The 25,960-nt window shown below is 42.3% G+C and overlaps 1 long non-coding RNA gene and 1 pseudogene across 3 annotated transcripts; both read left to right on the top strand.

Moving 5' to 3' along the window:
• The first annotated feature begins 1,584 nt into the window (after window positions 1-1,584).
• Window positions 1,585-25,520, top strand: LOC105372151 (uncharacterized). 3 transcript variants are annotated; one of them, XR_935546.3, is made up of 3 exons: window positions 1,585-1,769; window positions 12,131-12,218; window positions 24,846-25,520. It is a non-coding gene; the product is annotated as an uncharacterized LOC105372151 (long non-coding RNA). The 3 variants fall into 3 exon arrangements; XR_935547.3 differs by lacking the exon at window positions 24,846-25,520 and adding an exon at window positions 19,974-20,082; XR_935548.1 differs by lacking the exon at window positions 24,846-25,520 and adding an exon at window positions 13,431-13,485.
• PLEKHB2P1 (PLEKHB2 pseudogene 1) lies at window positions 3,369-4,744 on the top strand (annotated as a pseudogene).
• Window positions 25,521-25,960: the final 440 nt, after the last annotated feature.

The following is a 25,960-nucleotide window of genomic DNA, read 5'->3' on the forward strand; positions in this document are numbered from 1 at the left end:
GCGCCACTGCACTCCAGCCTGGGCGACAGAGCGAGACTCCGTCTCAAAAAAAAAAAAAAAAAAAAAAAAAAAAAAAAAAAAAAATTCTACTCCAGTGCCTCCAAAGTAGTAGTCTAATAGATAGTTTAGCTACCCCTTTCTCCCTGTATGTTAGGGATCCTAGATTAGAGAGTTAGGGCAGGAAAAACAATCTCTCTACTTGTTTTTAGGTAAATCTCTCATATGGTTTGAAATTTGTGTAGGTTTTTTTTTGTTACTGTTATTTTATGTTTGTATTTATAATGAAATAATGCTAAGGACACTGTTTTCATAAAAATACATGATGCACAAGTTACAAATTATTCTTTTTCTGTTATTAAAGGGCATTCGATATTTTTAAGGAGAGATTTAGGTGGTTTTTCTTCTCTTTTCTTTTTTTTCTTTCAGAGACAGGATCTCACTCTGTTGCCCAGACTGGAGAGCAGGGGTGCGATCGTAGCTTACTGTGACCTTGAACTCCTGAGTCTCGACTCACACAATCCTCTTGCCTCAGCCTCACAAGCAACTGGGACTACAGACACATGCCACCATGCCTGCCTAATTTTTTTTTTTTGTAGAAATGGGATCTCGCTATGTTGCCCAGGCAGGCCTTGAACAATTGGCCTCAACAGATCTTGCTGCTTTAGCCTCCCAAAGTGCTAGGATTACAGATGTGAGCCACCATGCCTGACTTGTTTTGACTTTCTATAAGTCTTCTGAAAATAACCAACTACATTTCTTTAACAAAATCACACTTTTTCCAAAAATTTTTCAAAATTAGTGTCTTGCTGCAAGCCTGCAAACTCATTTCCTCCATCGTTTTTTTTTTCTTACAAAAAGACAACAGCAAAGATGTCCAGAAAACAGTAGTTGACCAAAAGCCTTTTTCATGCTTTCGTGTTTATGTTTGGGGCATGCCATATCTGCTGGAGAATGGTAGGGCTCCTGAGGTCTGAATTATGGCTTCCACTGAAGCCTGAGACCATTGTCCTTACAGAAGCTTATTCAGAAATACACTCTATGAGAAGCAACATTGTGTGGTAATTAAGGGCAAAGACTCTGATTTCAAATCCACCACTTAATAGCTGGACAATTTACTTAACCTCTCTGTGGCTCAGTTTTCCCATGGGTAAAGTAGGAATAACACTAGACCTACCTCATAGGGTTGCTGTGCTGATGAAAAGAGTTAATATATAGAAAGAACTTAAAACAGTACCTGACATGAAGTAAGTGCTACCTAAGTGTTTGCTGCTATTGTTACTAATAATCAGCTAGGTATTATCATCTTCCATGGACATAAGTCTGCCACTGTTTTTCTGTTTTAGCATCACATTTTCTAGGAAGAGTAGAAACTATCGGTGTGGGGAAAAAACTAATATGTGAATTTAAAAAATGAGGCCAGTTGCACAAGAGGCCTAAACAAGAAAATGAGTGCCTGTCTTGGAGATTCACAAGCCCAAGCACGCTTCCTAACAGGTGCCTCAGAATTCTAGAAAAGATTCATACTGAAAACCCATTGTCACAATCACAGTTGCTGAACCAATCATCTTGCTGAGTGCTCCTAGACCTGCCCAAAGGGAAAGTCCAGGGATGGTGTTGAAATTCCGTTCTGAGCTAGAGGGCTGTTTTAACAGAGAAAGGAATCTATAATTGGCAAGAAAGACCAAGCTTAATGTCAAAGCCGTTTGATAAGTCTGAGATCACAGAATGTCTAGGCCAAGACTTAGTCAGAATGAAACATGTTTCTGGAGGTAAGTGAATGAGATTAGGGAAGGGGAAGACACAGCTGTTTATCATGTGACCTTTTCTTCCTGAACGTTCCGCAAAGAATTGTTGTGGGGCCTGATAAGACATACATGGGAGACTAAAAGCTTAATGACACTCAACTCCTGCCAACCTAGTTCTCACTGTGTGCTTGGGAGAAGGATTCCTACTCTTGGGTTTCTGTCCCTTCTTCCCCACTCTGGTGTGACTTCCTTGAGGTGAGCCATCTCTGCCTCCTCCATGAAATAATTGAACCAGAGAAACTTCTCAAATGTGGGTGGATTTAGAAAAAGATACGCGTGTGAGGAGAATGATTGAACACCTTGTATATGGGGTGATGCAGTGGTGGTCCCCCGAAGCAGTAACTGCTGTAGTAGCCTTCCCCGTTGGGCCCTGATGCTGCAATGTTGTGTGAACTTGGACCAATTAATGTTACATTTCAATGTTCTTACTTGAAAAATAGGTAGTGTAAAATCTACTGCACTAGCTGGATTAAAAGCAAAATTTCTAGTTTCATAGGTGGAAGTTGAAGCAAGATGTTTTTCCTCTAAGTGCATGGGGCCTTTATACAGAGAAGCTAGCTGCATGGAATATGAGTAAAACAAAAACCAATTCAAACGCTGCTTCCAGTCTGTTTTAGTTTAGCAGGAAAAAAGACAGAAGGGAGAAAGAGGCTGCAGTTTTCCTCCACTTCATTAGTGACCTGGGGAAATGGAGGGGGCACTATTCCAGCAGCTTACTGGTGCCTGAAATGTGTTGACTCACAAAACTTTTGATACCAAATGTGTGTGGGTTTGTTTTTCTTCCCCTCACATTAAGCAGTTCTCTAGTTCTTCGGACAACTGGGTGATCTACAATTCCATTCAAGTCTGATAATTATTACCTGGAGTTAGTGCAGGTCCCATAGCTAAGGGCTCAGTCCCACAAGATTGGCCTCACTTCAGATGCCAATCGCATGTCCTGAGTTGCCACCTGCACTTTGGTTCTGATTGGCTGGCTATAAATCAGGAGTTTCCATGCCCTTCTCCTCATGTTTGAGAATTTGATGGAAAAACATGGGAAAACCCTTTACTTACATTTACTGGTTTGTTATAAAGGATACAACTCAGAACAGCCAAATGAAGAGACACACAGGGCAAACTATGGGGAACGGGTGCCCCATTCCCCCAGCACCTCCATTAAGTGCTGGATGGTGACGAAGACATACTCAGTCCCTCTTCTAGTGGCCAGGGTTGTAATGCAGAGTAAAATCTGAAGAACCCCTGTAAATTGTATGCTAAATTAAGCTTAAGTGAGCACATACTATTTTCTAGGGCTCAAGTCCAAAGGTTTCATTAAATTTTTAAAGGTCTCCTTGGCTCATAAGAGTTTAATGATCATTCGTTAGAAGTAGATGAAAAGCACCCCAAATTATCTTATGTTTCCCAATTCATTTTATGAAAGCTAGCATTACATTTTATAAAAGCCAATAAAGATATTTCAAAAGTAAAACTATAGGTTGATTTTACTTATGGATATAGGTGTAAAAGTTCTAGAAAAAATATTCACAAACCAAATGCAGTATTACATTAGAAGAATAGATATTGGTGTGACAGTTGGAGCTGAGGAAACCCAGTGGAGTCTTTGCATTCTCCACTCTGGCTGGTGGGTGAAGAGATGGCCTGAAGAGTGGCTGGTTGCTGCAACAGAGTGCTATATTGAAGTTCTGGAATAAGAATTGGTTTGACCTGTGGTCAGATGGTACCTGACCTATTATGATGACCAGACTTGGCAGAGTGTTGAGGATAAGGTCCGCATGCAAGTGGAATGCCTCAATATCCCTGCCAGGCAGGAATGTCGGGATAGTCAGCCTCTGCATGGAAAGTCAAAAGACTGCAAACTGCCGGGAGTGGTGGCTCATGTCTGTAATCCCAGCACTTTGGGAGGTCGAGGCAGGCGGATCACTTGAGGTCAGGAGTTCGAGACCAGCCTGGCCAACATGGTGAAACCTCGTCTCACCTAAAAATACAAAAATTAGCCAGTCATGGTGGCACGCACCTGTAATCCTAGCTATTTGGGAGGCTGAGGCAGGAGAATTGCTTGAACTTGGGAGGTGGAGGTTGCATTGAGCCGAGATTGGGCCACTGCACTCCAGCATGGGTGACGGAATGAGATCCTGCTCCCCCCCAAAAAATGTATAAAATATATATTATATATTGTATAATAAATAATACTTATATATTATATAATTATATTTAAATATAATATACATTAATATTTAAATATAATTATATAATATATAATATTCTTATTAAAATATGTATCATATATAATTTATATATATGATATATATATATGGAAAAAGACTGCATGCTGCAGATTGTTTGCTCAGATGGGAAAACAATTAGTCTTTGTGCAGAAAACACAGTGATTGCTTGGCTTGGAAATTTACACTCCAAGATTCCAGGACAAACACAGCCTATGTGGGCTCCACAGTCATGACTGATGAGACACCCGTGGTTTCCTCCCCTCCACCACACACGGCCTATGCTGCACCAGCCACTGAGGAATAGGGCTATGAGCCATACAGTGGTGTGTGCCTGCCAGGAACTCAAATTGTCTATGCTGCTAATGGACAGGCGTATGCTGTGCCCTACCAGTACTCGTATGCAGGACTTTATGGACAGCAGCCTGCTAACCAAGTCATCATTCAAGAGTGATATCGAGACAATGACAGTGACCTGGCAGTGGGCATGTTGGCAGGAGTGGCCATAGTCATGCCCTTAGGGTCTCTATTCTTGGTCTTCTAGAGGCCGTAAGGTCTTGATGTGCCTAGCTCCTGATAACCCTGTGTGCAGTAATATGATTTACAGGGCATTTCTGTTTGTGACAAATGTTTTTAATAATAATTTTAATCGTTCCTTTGAAAGTAGTGACATCATAATTGTAACTAATCCACATAAGTACCACAGAGAAAGGTTTGAACTGTGCTATTTTTTTCTTTTTTCTTTTTTCTTTGAGATGGAGTCTAGCTTTGTCGCCCAGGCTGGAGTACAGTGGCGTGATCTTGGCTCACTGCAACCTCTGCCTCCAGGGTTCAAGTGATTCTCCTGCCTCAGCCTCCCGAGTAGCTGGGATTACAAGCACGTGCCGCCATACTCAGCTAATTTTTGTATTTTTAGTAGAGATGGGGTTTCACCATGTTGACTGGGATGGTCTTGATCTCCTGACCTTGTGATCTGCCCACCTCGGCCTCCCAAAGTGCTGGGATTACAGGCATGAGCCACTGCGCCCGGCCAGAACTGTGCTATTTTGTTCAAACACGGGCTCTCCAGGGGCACTGGCTCATTCTAGGACTGTCCTTACGGAAGTCTCGGAATACTTTATTTGAGCCTAGCTGTTTTGAAAGGCATTTTCTTTTTAGAGTTAGGTGTAGTGCTTAAGGGATAATTTATTTTCATGTTATGCCAGTAATATAGCGTTGTATGCATCATGAGTGATTGTGGCAAGAAAATCTACAGCTCCTTTCTGTTTAACTTTTTCAAGCCACAGACCAGAACTGGTTGCATGTTACCTTAGGAGTTGTGGATTGGTAAGCTTCTGGTTACTTCTCCGAGGCTGTGGTGTGAGAGCCCCCTGACCCGCCTTCTGGGGCTCCACAGGCCCCCAGCAAGGGTGACTCCTCAGGATGAGAGGGCACAGCCAGCCTTTGAAAAAACGATGCTTCAGAAATCTGCGTAACCCTACTGTCTTCTTTTTCTTTCTTTTCTTTGCTTTTTTTTTTTTTTTAAGACAGAGTCTCGCTCTGTCACCCAGGCTTGAGTGCAGTGGCACGATCTAGGCTCACTGCAACCTCCACCTCTCGGGTTCAAGCAATTCTCTGCCTCAGCCTCCCGAGTAGCTAGGATTACAGGCTCCTGCCACCAAGCCTGGCTAATTTTTTTTTTTTTTTTTTTTTTTTTTTTAGTACAGATGGGGTTTCACTATCTGGGCCAGGCTGGTCTTGAACTCCTGACCTTGTGATCCACCCGCCTTGGCCTCCCAAAGTGCTGGGATTACAGGCTTGAGCCGCTGTGCCCGGCCCCTAGCTTCTTATTCTCAGGTTATTCTTGTATGGTTTTGGTAGCTATATTTGGGAAACATATCCCTCATTAGGAATTGATTTGAGCTTCTGAGTGTTAGGGTTTTATCCTTTAAAACTTGGAGAAGTCAGAACAATAACAAACAAGCGTGTGGAGGCAGATTTGCTTTATTCAGAGAGAGCTATTTGAGTGTGTGTCTGCTTGGGGTGTTTGCGTTGCTGCCTAAGCCTCCTTACAGCCTATTTTTCTACTTGTTGAGAGAATAATATTAAAAGAAAAGTGGGGGAGTGGAAGGAGAGCCTTAGTTAGAGCGTTTCCATTTCAGGCCTTCTGGGGGATTGGACTGTGGGGGGAATGCTCTCTCTTGTCCCCCTGAAGGCCCACAGGAACGGGGCCCTGTGGCTGTCCACCGAGCACCAGGACAGACTATGGCTGAGCAAACTTGGGTTATGGATGGGAAATGGGGCCCAGGGGCCCTCAGGACACAGGAACTGGCTCAAGATACCACTCAGTCTGGTCAGGACCCCAGCCTTCTTTTGTTCTTGATCTCTGCGTGATAGAGAAGCTTAGAACATGGAATTTTGAGCCCCAAAATGTGGGAGTCTCTGGAAAACCCAGTCCTGCCTTTCTGTCCAGTGCTCTTATTTCCAATATTATGAAGTATGTATTTCAAATATTCATGTTTCTGTTATTTCATGTTTTCAAGCTTGGAATTATTCTGGTTTTCTGTCCTGCATGCTTTAAACATGTGATTTTACAAAGGCAGTTTAGCACAGTGAATATCTCTGCCCCACGCTCCATACGGTCCTGTTTTCCCTAACATACGTTCCAGGTAGCACAGACGTGTTATTTTGCCCGACTAGTTACATACATGCTGTCTTGCTTTGCTGCTCAGTCACTTCCCTCTGAGGCCAACTTACATAGGATTCCACATGAAGCCAGATGCCAGAGAAACCGAGTGGTGACCACAAGTCTGTTTTTATCGCCAGTCCTAGGGGACTTGTTGACATGAGAGTGTCTGTTCCCACCTGGAAGGATGTGTGTTTATCTGTCATCTCTGGATAGATGCAACGTATGACAACACTAGTGTCCATGGTTTAAAATGTCGCTTTGAAGATTTTCCATCCTGTGTAATAAGAACGGCTTTGTTCAGATTATAATCGTTATTAAAGCTGTATGTACGCTTTACTTAAAAACTATGAACAGCTTTTCATGTTGCACTTGTGGTAATTTTGGACTTGGAATTACCGGGAGGGAATTACAGGAACCAGACTTTTGCAGCTGAAATGCTCTTGAAGCAGACGTCTTCCTGTGCCCCATGGCTGCTTCTGGATGAACCGAGGGAGATGTGGACTGAAGCTTGGGCACCCGTGTGTGTCCCCTCCCCAGTCCCCATCCCCAGTGGGGCCAGCCTCATTAGGCAGCCATAGTTGAGCCTGGAAATTCACGGTCATTAGTGATTTGATCCTGGTATGAAATGCATGCTGGGGATAAGGTGAGCTCAGATATTTCATTTCCTTGGCCACAACTCCCATAGATGCCAACATTTTGATAGCCTCAGTTTCTCAATGACATTCTTTGTTTACAGTGCTACACTTAGTAATTCCAAGTGAAGAAGTGCGTCGTGAGTTAGAAGAAACTTCTGTTCAGTTTTGAGTAACATTCTACTTGCATGTATACTTTTTTTTTTTTTTTTTTGAGACGGAGTCTCACTCTGTCGCCCAGGCTGGAGTGCAGTGGCACGATGATCTCGGCTCACTCCAAGCCCCGCCTCCCAGGTTCACGCCACTCTCCTGCCTCAGCCTCCCGAGTAGCTGGGACTACAGGCGTCTGCCACCACGCCCAGCTAATTTTTTGTATTTTCAGTAGAGACGGGGTTTCACCGTGTTAGCCAGGATGGTCTTGATCTCCTGACCTCGTGATCTGCCTGCCTCAGCCTCCCAAAGTACTGGGATTATAGGCGTGAGCCACTGCACCTGGCCTCTATGTGTACTTTTAAATAATGATCCATACCTTGAAGAAGTTGGCTGTTGACATTACTTACATGCTAATCCGATTGTTCTTTTTGCTCTGTTCTTTTCATTCCTTGAGTCAACTTCAGGGTCTTGGATATTAAAGAGAAGAGGGAGAACTGTGGTTAATATCTTGGATCATAATTTGTGAACAAGGCCAGACTTTGCCCATTTTAGGCCATCCAGGACTCAGTGTAGCCACCTGGATCATAAGAAGATTCTCAATTGAGATAAAATGACCCAAGTTTATTTTCCACATCAAGTTTTGATCCTGTGGAATATTTCTTTTTCCTTCCCTAGTGTATGTAGATACAAGCCATGGAATGCAGTTCCACTTTCTCCCCGGAACTGATCTATTTGTGATTGCTTTCTGTCTCTACTATTCTCTTGTGCCTACGGAACTGATTTTTTTCCCTACATATGCAAATTGTACGTTTGTAAGCGAAAATGTCAATATATTGAAGTGTTAACCTTAAAGAAAAAAAAGAGAATAAATACCAAAATTAAATAGATTTATTCTGGAATGCAAGAATTGTTCAACATTTAAAAACTATAAATAATAATCAATTAGAGTAACAAAAGAGAAAACTTGCAAGATTATATTAATAAATATTTAAAAGCATGTGATAATTCAGTATTCATTTCAGAGAAAAAAGCTACCTAAATATGATGAGATTTGCCAAAACCCAAAAGCAAACATCATACCAACTATTGAAGAACAAAAAAAGTTAACTGAATTAAAATGAGTAACAAGGCAGATATACTTCTTATCTCAACTTATTTATTACCCCTACATTGTTTTGGAGGCTCTAGGTAATGCAATAGAAGATGAGATGATTTGCATAAATATTGAAAAAGGAAAGCACAATACTAGAATTAATAAGTGAATTCGGCAAGTCATTTGGACTTTCTGTTATTTGTCCTTTGCTGTTATTTTTTGAATGATATGACATTGTAAGTAAATGTAAGTTTTATGTTTTTACATTAACAGATTTAAAAATCTTTTCCTTTAAATTTAGGATTTTGCATCTCTGCTTAGAAATGACTTCCTCATGCTTAGAAATGACTTCCCAGGATTTCTTCTAGTAGTTGTATGATTTTATGTTTAAACTTTCAATTCATCAGGAAGCTCCTTTTGGCTTATGAGGGGAAATTGGGCTTAAGATTTAGTTATCTTCAAAGTATTTTATTTATTACACAATGCACTTTCTCCCATTGATTTGAAATGCCAACATGGCACAAATTTCATTTTAGAATGCAGCTGGGTCTGTTTCTGGACTCTGTACCTCTGTTTTCTTCTTTTGCAGTTCCAAGATATTTTAATTATCATAGCTGCATTTTATGATTTACTACCTGGAAGAGTGAGTTTCTAGGGAGAAATTATCAGCATTTTAAATAGTGAAGAGAAGGTACTAGCAGGGAGGTTAGTGATGTTACACAAGGGTGTATTTATTTACTTGTTTTTAGAGATGGGGTTGTGCTTCGTTGGCCAGGTGGTCTTGAACTCTTGGCCTCAAGCAGTCCTCCTGCCTCGACTTCCCAAAGTGCTGGATTACAGGCAGGAACCACCATACCTGGCCAGAAGGTTGTATTTAGATTACAGATCCCTGAAGAGGTGGGGTGGGGGATAAGTGAGGTGCAGGGGGTTGAGAGGGTAGTGGGGAATGGTTTCCTCACAGGGCCAGGTTGGGGTGTTAGCCTTGACCAGGAGAAAGGGTACTCTGACAATGTGAAGAGACAGAGAGAGGGAAAGCTGGCATTAGCAAGCTCACAGCCCTTCCAGGAGAAAGACCCTTCATCCTGCTCCTAATGCTGGTCTTAGGTAGACATATTTTGTGACTGTGAGTCCCTGTCCATCCCAACTATCCCCAATTAAATCAGGAAGGCCCTGTTACCGGAAAGTGGTCCCCATCCAGACCCCAAGAGAGGGTTCTTGGATCTCGCACGAGAAAGAATTCAGGGTGAGTCCATAGAGTAAAGTGAAAGCAAGTTTATCAAGAAAGTAGAGGAATAAAAGAACGGCTACTCAGTAGACAAAACAGCCCCGAGGCTGCTGGTTGCCCATTTTTATGATTATTTCTTGGTTATATGCTAAACAAAATGTGGATTATTCATGCCTTCCCTTTTTAGACAATATAGGGTAACTTCCTGACGTTGCCATGGCATTTGTAAACTGTCATGGCGCTGGTGGTGGTGTGGCAGTGAGGACGACCAGAGGTCACTCTTGTCACCGTCTTGGTTTTGGTGGGTTTTAGCCAGCTCCTTTACTGCAAGCTGTTTTATCAGCAAGGTCTTTATGACCTGTATCTTGTGCTGACCTTCTAGCTCATCCTGTGACTTAGAATGCCCGACCATCTGGGAATGCAGCCCAGTAGGTCTCAGCCTCATTTTTACCCAGCCCCTATTTAAGATGGAATTGCTTTGGTTCAAATGCCTCTGACAACCAGAGCATGGCAGCCATTCCAGAACAAGCAGACTGTGAAGTGACGTGACATGAAGAGCTCTTTTCCAAACATGAGGAAGAGAATTCAGTCAGAATCTCTAGTGTATTGATTTGCTGGAACACTCATTGTCAAGTTCTAGATTTTCTTTATGTAGAAAACACAGACTCACAGTGTGAACAAAGCACATTTTAATGCTTCCCCACTTCCTCCCCAGACCCAGAGGGAGTGAAGGAGAGCAGTGTTCCTCTCCAGAGTGGGTCAAGGATTGAAATTTCTTACCACTGGGTTCAGGAGCTGGCTGTCACCAGGGATTGCAGGTCCTAGAAGATGCTGGGTCTTACCTGATTGAATCAGAGAGAAAGTCCAGTAGCTTGGTCTCAGCGGGGCCTCAGCCCCAAGAGACGGAATGGATGTCCTTTTCCTCTAGACTGCCGGGGGCAGCAAATTCCATATGTATGTTTTGCTAAATTTTTCTTCCTGAGAGTTTGCCTTCATGCGAATCTTCCTGAAGAGCATTTTCCCTGGGTCTAACCCCCTGCATATGAAAGCAAATGGTAGGCCGGGCGTGGTGGCTCAAGCCTGTAATCCCTGCACTTCAGGAGGCCAAAGTGGGTGGATCACCTGAGGTCAGGTGTTTGAGACCAGCCTGGCCAATGTGGCGAAACCCCATCTCTACTAAAAACATAACAATTAGCTGGGTTTGGTGGCGGGCGCCTGTAAACTCAGCTACTCTGGAGGCTGAGGCAGAAGAATGGCTTGAACCTGGGAAGCCAGCCTGGGCAAAAGGTGAGACTCTGTTTCCAAAAAAGAAAAAGAGAAAAAGAAAAAGAAAAGAAAGCAAACGGTAGCAGTGGGTGGGAGTGTTGAGAAAGTGAATGATGGACTGATGGGCTCTTTTGCAAACCAGAGTTTTCAGTTGAAGGAGGAAATAATCATGTTGTTTATTTGTTTCTCACCTGTCAGCTAATCAAGTGATTTGTTTCATTGACAGATGAACTAAGAAAGTTCTTATTTCTAGTGGTAAAGCATTCACAATAATTTAATCTTATCAGTAAAACTGAGAAGTTGTTCGGAGAATTGAATATCATTTCTATGCCCAAATTCCCTTCCCATTTCTATTTATTTATGTGAACAAGTTTTTCACAGTTTTATATATATTATATATTATATATATATATATATAATATATATATGAAAATAGGAATAAAATCCATGCCAACTTAGTCTCAGGCTGTCATCTACAGATACATTAAAAATTGCAAAAGCCCTCTAAACTATTAAACAAATAGCACCATTCACCTTTCAGGAGCTTCATTCTCAATGTATTTCCTTTATATTTTATATTTACTTTCTGTTTAATGACTTAAAATATGTAATATTTAGGTACTTTGATCAACTGTTCACTGAAAACAATGGTAAAGATAATTTAATCCAGAAAAATTTTAAATACAGAGCTTTAAGATCGAAGTAAATAATTTTTTAAAATTTCAATGTGTACACCTATTTTTGTTACAGAAACATAAGGAAGTTCAATAAAAGACTTTTAGACAGAAAAACACATTCCATTAGGATATAATTCTGTAGAAAACGTGGAAGGGCAGAGGTCCGGAGCCCGGGTCTGTGAACTGCCTTTGCCCCCAGGCCCTCAGACCTTGCCCTCCGTGCTGAGATTTAGAGGCTGGAGGCCCTAATGACTGCTGATCTCATATCAGGTGAGAGCTCATCTCCTTGATGATAACAGGCATCATTAAGCCCTAATTAGTCAGGCCACAGGAAGCTGGTATCTATTATTTAAAGGAAAGCAAAACACATTTTCCTTCTTCTTTGGTAGAACAGGAAGCAAGGCCACATGCTGAGCAGGAGGAGCCAGCACAGGGTGGAGTAGTGAAGGGCCACTCTGCCGCAGCCGCGTCTCAATGGTGAGCCTATATGTATTTCCCACTGGGCACAGCGGAGCGTCAGGGATTGAGTGGGGGTGTGTGTGTGTGTGTGTGTGTGTGTGTGTGTGTGTGTGTGTGTGTGTTTTGCTTATTTGCTTCACAAAGTCATTCTGGACCTCAGTTGAGAGAGAGAGGCTCTGATTCTTTAACTGGTGGCCCCGGGCCCTAGCACCCACTCTGCAGATGGGGAAAGAGAGGAACATTTGTGAGAGGTTTGGATAAGCCTGGTCCAGAGAAGAGGCACATCATTTAAATTTTTTTTTTTTTTTGAGATAGTCTCACTCTGTTGCCCAGGTTGGAGTGCAATGGTGCGATCTTGGCTCGCTGCAGCTTCTGCCTCCCTGGTTCAAACGATCCTCTCACATTAGCCCGGCAACTAGCTGGGACTGCAGGCACATGCCACTGTACCTGGCTATTTTTTTTTTTTTTTGTATTTTTTGTAGAGACAGAGTTTCACCATGTTGCCTAGACTGGTCTCAAACTCTTGGGCTCAAGCGATCCACCTGCCCTGGCCTCCTAAGGGCTGGGATTACAGGTACGAACCACCATGCCTGGCCTTTTTTTTTTTTTTTTTTTTTTACTTTAAAGGTTTTAGATATTTCCAACAATAAGGAGCTTGAAGGGGCACATCACTTCTGCTCACACTCCATGACTTGAACTTGGTAGTTTGTGGCTTTCCTGGGGGTCCTGGAAGAAGGAGATGCTGGTTGGCTCCTCAGCTAGCTGTCTCTGCTCTACGGGGGTAGAAGGTTTGAAGACAGCTGAGAAGGTTGGAAATAGCCACTGCAGCACGGGGAGAACAGCTGACCAGGAAACACAAGCCTGGTGGGCAGCATTAATGGCCTAGCTGCAGTCTGTGGGGTGGTGGGCTTTCTTCCAGCAGCCTCCAACTATGCCCCTACGAATGTCAACAGGAGAAGAGTTGGTTAGATCGAGCTTGTGGTTTCAAGGGAGAGACATGTCAGGGGGACAAGGAGGCAAGGGAATTGAAGATCTTGGCAGGAAAGAATCTGAGGAGCTACCATGTCTATGGTGGATAAGAAGAGAGTGGTCATGGCAGATGGGCGAAAAAGAAAGGGCTCACGTACCTACAGGTCTTGATGAAACTGAAGAAGAGATGGAGTGGATGGAAGAGAATGAGAACTGGGAGGCAGGAGATCATATTCCAAGAGGAGTGTGTTTGAATTTAAGGTTTTGGAGTTAGGACCATCCTGGATATAGCTGAGATGCTGAGTGTGGCCAAGAGAGGAAGGAGTGGGGTGGAGTGAAGGTAATTTTTTTCCTCTTACTTCTTTGTTTCCCAGACACCACCCAATTGGGTGCTGGGTCTCAATACATGCTTATTATTTTAGCCTTAAATTATTTGAATCAGAAGCAGTAAAAAATAATGACTAAGTAGATTTGGCATGTAGGATATTAAAAAATTTTTTTTTTGGTGGTATGGCTTTGTATAACAGAAAAAATATGTTAAAACAGAAAGCCTTTTTCAGGCTTTTAACCCTTTTCCATATATACGGCATTGTATTTTATGTAAGTAAAAAAGTAAAACATACTGTCACAAGCAGGTGTGGTGTCAGTTTCCCAAGATGTAAAATTAAACTCTGTCTTGGGAGTGGATGGAAATGAAACCCCGCCTACTTCAACCTGTGCATTACACTGTATGTGCCATAATCCACATGGTTTAATGTGAATGGTTAGCAAATGAAAAATAAGAACAACAGTTTTAATGCCTGACATCTCACATCATTAGATAATATTAGTAGGGTCCTGTTACCAAAATGAGAGCTTTAGAGGGGCTAATTAGAAATACCACTAATGATTTAAACACTAAAGATTAAGAAGTAGTTTTGTATTTTCGTCAAATCTAGTCAAGTTTTTCCTTTATCCTATAAAGTCTTATCAGGTGTTAGCGAGGGAGTCTTTCCAGGTAGAAAGAGCTGATGTAATTATTTTGGCTCATCTAGGCAAGAAAGCCTGCCTACCCAAGAGGTAAAAACGTCTGTATCTCTCAGATATAAGGATCGGTGATATCCATAAAGAGATTGCCCCTAGAAGATTCTATCTATACACAGGTCACTGCTCTTTCTCACTATATTCAAGCACAGCTTTAAAATCAATTGCAAAAAAATATTTCTTTATGTTGACTTCAAATCGTCATTTGGGCAATAAATAGAATCCAAGAAATTGACCTTCCATTGGGTGTGTTACGTTGCCACTTCCTTATTCCTTCTCTACATACAATTGCTAGTCCTCAGTGAGAAGTTGGAGCCTACTGATTCAAAACTTCCTCTCCATGAACTTCAGTGAGATGAGAAATTAGAGGTTTGGATGTGACTTAGAATATTTCCTCTTATTTTCAGGACTGAAACATCTTTTATTTTTATTTTTATTTATTATTTTTTTTAGAGTTTCTCTCTTGTTGCCCAGGTTGGAGTACAGTGGTGCGATCTCGGCTCACCACAACGTCTGCCTCCCAGGTTCAAGCGATTCTCCTGCCTTGGCCTCCCAAGTAGCTGGGATTACAGGCACCTGTCACCACACCCAGCTAATTTTTGTATTTTTAGTAGAGACAGGGTTTCTCCATGTTGGTCAGGCTGGTCTCGAACTCCCAAACTTGGGTGATCTGCTAGCCTCGGCCTCCCAAAGTGCTGGGATTACAGGCGTGAGCCACTGTGTCTTGCTCTGTTGCCCAAGCTGGAGTGCAGTGGCACAATCATAGCTGACTGCAGCCTTGACCTCGGGGGCTCAAGCAATCCTCTCACCTTAGCCTCCCAAGTGCTGGGACTACAGGTGCTCACCACCATGCCCCCCTAATTTTTGTATTTTTTGTAGAGACAGGTTTTTGCCATAGAAACTCTGTATTTGTACTGTACTTGTATCAGGACTCTAAACAGAATATACATGTTTAGAAATTGTTGCCCAAGCTGGTTTTGAACTCCTGGGCTCAAGTGATCCTCCTGCCTTGGCCTCCCGAAATGTTGGGATTATAGGTGTGAGCCACTTTGCCCAGCTCAATAAATTTTTTTGTCTTCAAGCCTCAGTCTAAAACTCAGGCTACTACAACAGGTATCTCAAATGACAGTTTTTCTTCTCATATCAGCCCCATTGTCAGTTCAGTCTCTGAAGATGAAATGTCTTGAGATCACTGCTCTCCATACATAAAAGCAGTAATAGTAGACTTCTTCAAACTTGTATTTTAACCACGTGGCTCTACTTTTTACCTTAAATTAATGATGACTATCACCTGTTTTCCATAGTCGTATTTGTTAACTGAAGCTACTAAGTATTGTAAGTTTGTCTAAGACAGGATGATAGGGTACATAGGAAAAAATTAAATCTATTTTATAACTATAAAGGGAGGCATAAAACTAGAGCATGTTCCTGAAGCAAGTCATGTTTCAAAAAGATGGTCAGGGATGCAGCATTTTTTTTAAACTAGGAACTATCTTTTTTTTTTTTTTTTAAAGATTAACAAAGAAAAAAAACAGGAAGTAAAGAACAACAACAATTGGCATTGCTGTACCCAGCGCAGGAGAAGTTGTCTGATGTGTAGATATAATTTCAGTCATTTGAGATTAAAAGGGTCCAGGTGTGGTGGCTCGTTTCTGTAATCCCACCACTTCGGGAGGCCGAGGTGGGCAGATCACTTAAGGGCAGGAGTTTGAGACCAGCCTGGCCAATGTGGTGAAACCCTGTCTCTACTAAAAATACAAAAATTAGAGGGGCGTGGTGGCAGGCGCCTGTAGTCCCAGCTACTCAGGAGGCCAAGGCAGGAGAATCACTTGAACCCGGGAGGCGGAGGTTGCAGTGAGCTGAGATCGCACCACTGCACTCCAGCCTGGGCAAAAGCGTGCGACTCCATTACACACACACACACACACACACACACACACAGAAACTTTAAAAGGATAATTTGGAGTACTTGTATTTGTACTCTTAACACAGTATATATGTTTAAAAATTGTGGATTCTCAGATGATATTTGATTAGTAAAAACATATTTTTGTCATTGGTGAATGTACTGGGTTGGATAGGGCCTCCCCAAGTTCACGTCTCCCTGGAACCTCAGAACATGACCTTATTTGGAAATAAGGGTCTTTGCATGTGTGATCAAGTTAAGATGAGATCATACTGTATTAGGTTGCACCCTAAATCCAATGACTGGTGTTTTATTTTTTATTTTTAATTTATTTTTTGGACACAGGGTCTCACTCTGTCACCCAGGCTGGAGTGCAGTGGCGCAATCTCAGCTCACTGAAGCCTTGACCTCCCAGACTCAGGTGATCCTCACACTTCAGCCTCCTGAGTAGCCAGGACTACAGGTGTGTGCCACTGTGTCTGGATGATTTTTAAATTGTACGTAGAGACGGGGTCTCCCCATGTTGTCCAGGCTGGGATTGGTGTTTTTTAAAAGCTGTACAAAGACGCAGAGACACACAGGGAGAATACTGCGTGACAATGGAGGTGGAAATTGGAGTGAAGAGTCTAGAACCAGGAAATGCCGGCAGCCACCAAGAGCTAGAGGAGGCAAAAGGGGCTTCTTCCCAAGCGCCTTCAGCAAGGACATGGTCCTTCTATACCTCAATTTCAGACTTCTGGCCTCCAGAATTGTGAGATAACAAATTTTTGTTGGTACAGGCAAGTTTGTGGTACTTTGTGGTAGCAGCCTAGGGAACCAACATACTTAGGTGGGGTAAAAAATATGGAGGTAGAGGGTTGTGATAGCTGACATTTTTTCTAAATGTTATGATGGACAGTCTGTGGTATAGCCTGAATGAACCAGATGCTTCCTGCTGGAAGAGTGACATTCGCAGGTTCTTTGGTTCAGAGTTTACTAAAACGTAGTCAATAGACTTCCCTTCAGATGGAGAAATGATTTTCTATTTTATATATAAACGGGTTTGGTATGCTTCATGGTATCTTTAACTTCACTAAATAAAACGCTGCACAGAAACATCCTACACTGCAGTCCCTGAAGATATTACTTTTCTTTTTCTTTTTTTAGATGGAGTTTCGCTCTTGTTGCCCAGGCTGGAGTGCAATGGCACGATCTCGGCTCACCGCAACCTCCGCCTCCCGGGTTCAAGTGATTCTCCTGCCTCAGCCTCCCGAGTAGCTGGGATTACAGGCATGTGCCATCATGCCCGGCTAATTTTGTATTTTTAGTAGAGACGGGGTTTCTCCATGTTGGTCAGGCTGGTCTCGAACTCCCTTCCTCGGGTGATCCGCCCGCCTCGACCTCCCAAAGTGCTGGGATTACAGGCATGAGCCACTGAGGCCGGCCAATTTACTTTTCATAATTTGTTTTTGCATTTTTCTTCATCTCCAAGGCCAGCCTCATAGATGTGTAATATTTAATTTTACTTTTAGCTAATAGTTACAAATATCACATTTCTTTGTCATTGAATACTTTTGAAATTATTCCGATGCTTATTTATCGAACTTTATGAGGCTAAGAACCTTTGTGATTTTTTTTGGGGGAGCATAGACAATATTTTATATGCTGATAGCTATTACCAAAGCATAGGGGTTACTTAAATGAACAAGCGATGATCTATCACAAGAGAAATGGAAACAGACATTTAATACATCATTTTGCTAATGGTTCTTCCCTATACACTCATCAGCCCCCATTCATTTTTTGCTCTAATAAATGGACTATATTGTTTTATAAATTTTCTTTTGAGTGTTAATATAAGAAGGAAGTTATTGCAGCCCTCTTTACACAGAGACCTAACGGAATAAAGGACTTGACCAACATCACAGTTTTCCTATCAGTGGGTAGGTTTTCTAGCTGGATTAATGCCAGCTCTTCCTCCTTTTTTTTTTTTTTTTTGAGACAGGGTCTCACTCTTTCACCCAGGCTGGAGTGCAAATGGTACAATCTTGGCTCACTGCAACGTCTGCCTCCCAGGTTCAAGTGATTCTCCTGCCTCAGCCTCCTGAGTAGCTGGGACTACAGGTGTGTGCCACCATGCCTGGCTAATTTTTGTATGTTTTTGTAGAGACAGGGTTTTACCATGTTGGCCAGGCTGGCCTTAAACCTCTGATCTCAAGTGATCTGCCTGCCCGCCTTGGCCTCCCAAAGTGTTGGGATTACAGGCGTGAGCCACCACACCTGACCCTTCCTCCTGTTCTTAGCTCAAATCTCATCCAAAGGAAATTGGCACTCTCCATTTCCTTTTATATTAAGAATGAGTTTCATGTTCATAAGTATATACTCTGAAATAGTAAACCAATATTCTCTTTGAAATGGGTCCCCTTGATGTCAACACAGGGATATAAGGTAGAATGGCAAGACAAGGCCCTGTACTTAAACTGCTCTGCAGCCAAAATGGAAACTAAAGACCATTGGTTTGGTCAGGCCATTAACCTACATAATCATAAAAGCAGAGATCCTTGTCCATTGGTGATATCTACCCTAAAGCACAGTGAAATTTAGTCTAACACCTAATTTAATGTTTTGATTTTCCTATTCTGTAGTCTGATCTTGTAGACATTGAATTGGTGCTGTTTTACCCTGGTGAACACAAGATTTGAAAAAGCCTCTGAAAGGCGAGGGAATTACATAAACTATGCTGCATAGTTAGATGGTCTGAAACTTTGCTCTGCCTATGAAGTAAACACCTTCATAGGTTGTCACGTTCTTGGACATGCAAATAGCTTCTGTGGAGATACATTAAATATACATTTCCAAACTTATCGGCCAGCTAACATAGGAAATATGTTAGATTTAAACACCAGGATTTTAGAATTTGTGTACTTTCTTTAATGGCGGCTCCAACTGGTTGTCAATCCAGAGAAAAAAAGAGAGCTGAGTTTTGGAAGCTACTCCTGTGTGGTATCTTTATTCTTTTATTTTATTTTGAGACAGTCTTGCTCTGTTGCCAAGGCTGGAGTACAGTGGCGTGATCTTGGCTCACTGCAACCTTCGCCTCTGGGGTTCAAGCTATTCTCCTGGCTCAGCCTCCCAAGTAGCTGGGATTACAGGTGTGTGTTATTATGCCTGGCTAATTTTTGTACTTTTAGTAGAGTCAGGGTTTTGCCATGTTGGCCAGGCTGGTATTGAACTCCTGAGCTCAAGTAATACACCCACCTTGGCCTCCCAAAGTGCTGGGATTATAGGTGTGAGCCACGGCGCCTGGCCTGGGGTTAGGTATCTTTAAATACTGGGCAATTTACTAGTGATTTTCTTGGAAAGCAGATGGCCTCTTTGGTCACCAATTCTGTAGGGTCTGTGAAAGAGGATACGGTGAGTAGTTAAAATATAAGCATAAAGAAAAAAGTAAGACAAACAGCAGGGGACAGACTTCTGGGTTATAGAACACCACCCAACATTTCACTGTCTTAGCTTCATGTTTTCTCTACAAAGTATCTCATTACATCTGTTTGGGAAGTTTTCTTCCCTAACCTCCATAGAAAACAAATTATTTTGTTAGAACTGGAGGGTGGTATCTGTGATTTCAAGATGGTTCTTCGCCATTTTAATCTCTCTTTATCTCAGGTTAGACTTTTGTTTGCAATTGTGATTTTCAAAGAAAAGGTCCTTGTCAAATGTTTCAAGTAGAACACAGCAACACACATTTATTTGCACCCCAACTTGTCAACAAAGCGTGGGGACAGGCATGAAGGAGAGATGCCATTGCCTGCCAGTGTTTAACTTCATTGCTGCCCAACTCAGAACTCATCTGACTAAAAACACTTCTTAACCCCAATGTTTTTCTGTCATTTTAGGATTTCACTGTGGCACAAAATGTTCCTGCGGTCCAAAATTGAGAAGGGAATTGAAACAAGGGAAATTTTACTGTTATGAAATATAATAAATAGTGCTTGCTTTACTGTATGATTTTTATGCTTCCTAATTATATGGACTCTATACAGTTTGTATAGTCACAATGACAAGAATTATTTTATCTTCCCTTTCTTTGGCCCAGCTTTTTGGGCCACTCTGTGACTAGCAATGAGCATTAAGTGGTTAGTAAGGAAGCAGGTGCCCAGATATTGGCTCCAGTTTTCACAGTATCCACCAGTGACTGTGGACAATTTGGGTAAGTCATTCTCCACAAAGAACATGGTTTATTTGTATTTTTATGGATTTGAGCTATGTAGTTAATAAGGCTATGGTAGCTCTTTGATGTTCTGTGCTGAATTTTCATAGTTCATTCTTTGTTTTTTTGAGACAGAGTTTTGCTCTTGTTGCCCAGGCTGGAATGCAATGGGACGATCTTGGCTCATTGCAGCCTCCGCCTACCAGGTTCAAGTGATTCTCCTGCCTCAGCCTCCCAAATAGCTGGGATTATAGGCATGCGCCACCACACCCAGCTAATTTTGTATTTTTAGTAGAGACGGGGTTTCGCCATGTTGGCCAGGCTGGTCTCAAACTCCTGACCTCAGGTGATCCACTCGCCTCAGCCTCCCAAAGTGCTGGGATTACAGGCATGAGCCACTGCACCTGGCCTCGTAGTTCATTCTTAAAATCTATAACCATTAGCATTAAAACATAAATAATTGAAATTTAAGCATAAAATATTTAATGAGTAAAAAAATGGCCCAGAAGAGAATTAAAAATCAATAGCTATTCATAAGGGTAGGTTTTCATATAGCTTGTATTAGGTAGCATTGTATTGTGTGAGTGTGTGTGTGTGTGTGTGTGTGTGTTGGGAGGAGTGCATTAATTTGTGAGGGTTCCCATCTCCCATAACAAAAGACTTCAGACTGGGTGGCTTAAACAACAATTTTTTCCTCACAATTCTGGAGGCTAGATGTCTGAGATCAAGGTGTCGGCAGGGTTGGTGTCTTCTGAGGCCTCTCTCCTTGGCTTGTAGGTGGCCGCCTTCTCACTACACTTGGTCTTTTCTCTGTACCTATCTGTGTCCAAGTCTCTTTTTATAAGGACAACAGTCATATTGGATTGGAGTTCATTCTAATGACCTCATTTTAATTCTATTGCCTCTTTAAAACCTTATCTCCAAATAGACAGTCATATTCTAAGGTATTGGGGGATAGGACTTCGACATGTGAATGTTTTTTTTTGGTTGGGGGGATACAATTTAGCCCATAACAGTGGGTATATGGCTTTAACAGCTTTCTTGAGGTTTATCTTATGAACTATACATTTAGCCCATGTTAAGGTTGACCAGTCTTAGTAATTTTATGCAGCCCTGCGACTGTCACCGCAGTCCCATTTTTTTTTTTTTGATGGAGTCTCGCTCTGTCGCCCAGGCTGGAGTGCAGTGGTGCAATCTCGGCTCACTGCAACTTCTGCCTCCCAGGTTCAAGCGATTCTCCTGCCTCAGCCTCCCAAGTAGCTGGGACTACAGGCATGTGCCACCATGCCCAGCTAATTTTTTGTATTTCAGTAGAGATGGGGTTTCACCGTGTTAGCCAGGATGTTCTTGATCTCCTAACCTCATGATCTGCCTGCCTCAGCCTCCCAAAGTGCTGGGATTCCAGGCGTGAGCCACTGTGCCACACCGCAGCCCCATTTTAGAACTACATGACGTTCTAAGTCTCAAGGAGCACGATGATGTAATGGGAGTACTGGATGACAACCCAGTTGTTACATTCTGAAATTACTTAATAAAATTTATGTTTCAAGAATTGGTTAAAATGATTGCCTATTGGTCTGTAAATCTTCCTAATCAGTTATACTGACGTTGATATATTTTGCACTTAGCATCCTGCCTATTTTTTTTTTTTTTTGGCCATGGTTTTTCTTATAAGGATGAAAGAGGAGGCCCCAAATAAGCTGCCTAGAAGGGAAAAAGTGTTATAAGTTTTCATATGGAAGATTTCATCTGATTTTGATAGAATGGAAAGGGCACTGACCAGGCACAGAGGCTCACACCTGTTAATTCCAGCACTTTGGGAGGTTGAGGCAGGAGGATTGCTTGAGGCCAGGAGTTTGAGACCAGATGGGCAACATAGGGAGACCCTGTCTCTACAAAAAATAATTTAAAAATTAGCTGGGTGTGGTGGTACATGCCTGTAGTCCTAGCTACTCAGGCCAGGAGTTGGGGAGACCTGGGTTTGCTCTGAGATTGGTACTTTCCAAACTAAGCCTCAATCTTCTCAACCAAATAAGACCCTGCTCGGCATGCAACACTGTTAGGAGCATAATAAAGAATATTACCCAGGGTAAAAATCCTTAAAAAGTTTTTTAATGTACATATAGGATGGTATTACTTTTTGAAGAAAAATAAAATGGGGCCCCTGATTAGAAATAATTAAAATAGACTTTTCTGAGCTGTTAACAGTTTACCCAGTTACTTCAAAGAATAATTATTTTGCCAGAACCTTAAACTTTAAATTGTTCTATAATCTAAATATTAGTATTACTATTTGAGATGGAGTTTTGCTCTTGTTGCCCAGGCTGTAGCGCAATGGCACGATCTCGGCTCACTGCAACCTTTGTCTCTCGGGTTCTAGTGATTCTCCTGCCTCAGCCTCCCGAGTAGCTGGGATTACAGGCATGCGCCACCATGCCCAGCTAATTTTGTATTTTTAGTAGAGATAGGGTTTCTCCATGTTGGTCAGGCTGGTCTCAAACTTCTGACCTCGGGGGATCCACCTGCCTCGGCCTCCCAAAGTGCTCGGATTGCAGGTATAAGCCACTGCACCTGGACTATAATCTAATTATTAATGTGCCAAACAGCCTAAAGAAATTGGCTCAAAAAGACAAAGAGGTTAAGGTAAATGTTAACAATTACAAAATCATGCTTCAAGTTTATGAACAGCAGTCATATTTCATCATACTTTTAACTCTCTCATTAGATTGCATTTAAATACATTGGGAAAGTTGTTTGCAGTTTGAAGCTTCCTCTGCTTTTGCTCACAAGGGTCTCTTCTCAAAGAGTTATTTATTATTTGAAAGTAATGAGGGTCTCAGAAAGGAAAAGTCACTCCTACCACTCCACTCTACAATACATCTGAATTCAGATCACCCTGACTTCAGCCCAAATACCCTGGTTCTACAGTTACACTTGGTCTTAATTGAAATATGTGTAGCAAGGCAGGTTTATAGCAAATTGAGTTATTATTAAATAATGTTTCCTCAAAACTCATAATTTTAATTGAGATTTTTTTGTCCTTGGAGCAATGTACCAGCATAAAAGGGAGGCCCCTTCTTTGTAATCAAGGGGTTTCTTTTTTTTTTTTTGAGATGGAGTCTCACTCTGTTGCCCAGGCTGGAGTGCAGTGGTGCCATCTCAGCTCACTGCAACCTCTACTTCCTGGGTTTAAGCAATTCTCCTGCTTTAGCCTCCCAAGTAGCTGGGATTACAGACATCTGCCATCACACCAGCTAACTTTTGTATTTTTAGTAGAGACAGGGTTTCATCACGTTGGCCAGGCTAGTCTTGAACTCCTGACCTCAGGTGATCCAAAGTACTCGGCCTCCCAAAGTACTGGTATTACAGGAATGAGCTGCCACGCCTGGCCAAGAAGTTTCTTGAGGCAGGGATTTGAACAAGGAGAACAGGTGTAAATATGTAGGACAGCTCTCAGTCCGATATTTGAGGAAATAATGTTATTATCATCAGTGCTCACTCACTCTTTACCTCTTGTAGAAGAGTTTACTGAGGGGAGTATATGTAAACCCCCATTTGTGGACTAATTGTGATGGGTAATACTGAGTGGCAACTTGATTGGATTGAAAGATGCAAAGTATTGATCCTGGGTGTGTCTGTGAGGGTGTTGCCAAAGGAGATTAACATTTGAGTCAGTGGCATGGGAGAGGCAGACCCTGGCAGGGGCAGCTTGCAGCACAGCTAGGAAAAAGCAGGCAGTGTAATCCCAGCTACTAGGGAGGCTGAGTCAGGAGACTCGTGTGAACCTGGGAGGCAGAGGTTGCAGTGAGCCGAGACTGCACCATTGCACTCCAGCCCAGGTGACAGTGTGAGGCTCTGTATCAAAAAAAGAAAAAAAAAAAAAAGAAAAAAAAGAAAAAAGCAGGCAGGAGAAGGTGGAAGAGCAGACTTGCTAAGTCTTCCGACCTTCATCTTTCTCCTGTGCTGGATGCTTCCTGCCCTTGAATATCAGACTCCAAGTTCTTCAGCTTTTGGACACTTGGACTTGCTTGCCAGAGGGTCTTGGACCTTTGGCCACAGACTGAAGGCTGCACTGTCAGCTTCCCAACTTTTGAGATTTTGGGACTCAGACTGATCCACCACTGGCTTCCCTGCTCCTCAACTTGCAGATGGCCTATCGTGGGACTTTACCTTGTGATCGTGCGAGTCAATTCTCCTTAGTAAGCTCCCTTCCATATATACATATATCCTGTTAGTTCTGGCCCTCTAGAGAACCCTGACTAATACACTAATGTTCTGTCATTTGCAACTTCCAGTAAAATAAAGTACTGTTTAATTATATTTAGAACTTATGACTGGCAATTCTTAGATTGAATCACTCAGACTTCTAAAGATCTGGCGTGTTCTTAAGAACATTAAGTCTTGCAACTTGTATTACAAAACCTCTTTCTAAGTGGATTTGCTCTTTTCAAATGGAAACCATTAGTAGTGCATTGAACCATATGTGGAAATAAATCAGATGGCAGAACATGCTGTTAATTTCCCCAAGACACTGATTTTAAATATTCTTTACAAACAGGTCTAGCTCAACATGCTTGCTTTTCCTTCATGGAAACTGAAATCTCACCTGGCAATAGATTTCAATGTCTGGACACACACGTGACACTTTGAGGAAAGCCACTGAAAACAGCTGCGGCCAAGAAAGTCTTCAGATCTCAAGGCCACAGCTAAGATATAAAGCCAAGGGGAGGAGCCAGCTGCAGGTTCTGTATTAGATGGATCTCCCAGGGGAGGGGCAAAATATCTCTCTTACTGAACTCCACAGAGTGTATTTGCTCTCTAGGTAAAGGTGGGAGGGAAGGGGCCCTAGGATTGTTTGAGATGCAATCTTGAGAGGTTGTGAGATTACACTCATTAAAAAAAATAACTGGCCAGGTGCAGTGGCGCATGCCTGTAATCCCAGTACTTCGGGATACTGAGTTGGATGGGTTGCGTGAGCCTAGGAGAGATCAAGGCTGCAATGAGCCATGCTCACATCACTGCACTCCAGCCTGGGTGACAGAGTGAGACCCTGTCTCAATTAAAATAATGATAATGATAATAATAACAACCTCAGGTGGAACTTGGAAATGGTACCATGAAAGCAAGTATCTTTGAGTTTCTAAGGTAAACACAAAATCTGGCCCTGGAACTCCTAGCAAGCCATGAGATTGGTAACATTGATCCAGGCTCAGACTGATGTTTGTTAGTAAAAAAAAAAAACTCTCTTCCCTTTATTCCTTATTAGTATTATTATTATTTTTTTGGGACAGAGTCTTGTTCTGTCACCCAGGCTAGAGTGCATTGGTGTGATCATGGCTCACTGCAGCCTCAACCTCTTGGGCTCAAGCCATCCTCCCAACTCAGCCTCCCAAATAGCTGGGATCACAGGGGCAAGCCACCACACCCAGCTAATTTTTAAAATATTTGTGTAGACAAATAGTGAGACAGGGGTCTCACTATGTTGTTCAGTTTGGTCTCAAGCTCCTAAACTCAAGTGATCCTACCACCTTGGCCTCCCCAAGTGCTGGGATTACGGGTATGAGCCACCATGCCTGGCCTCCTTATGCTCTTTTAAAACAGGAGTGAATAAAGTCCTGACATGTTCCCAAGCCTAAATTTCCCTCATTATTGATTCTTTTGTTTGAAATGTTT

Source organism: Homo sapiens, chromosome 18, assembly GCF_000001405.40.
Source record: "Homo sapiens chromosome 18, GRCh38.p14 Primary Assembly".
In the NCBI taxonomy this organism is placed as follows: Eukaryota; Metazoa; Chordata; class Mammalia; order Primates; family Hominidae; genus Homo; species Homo sapiens.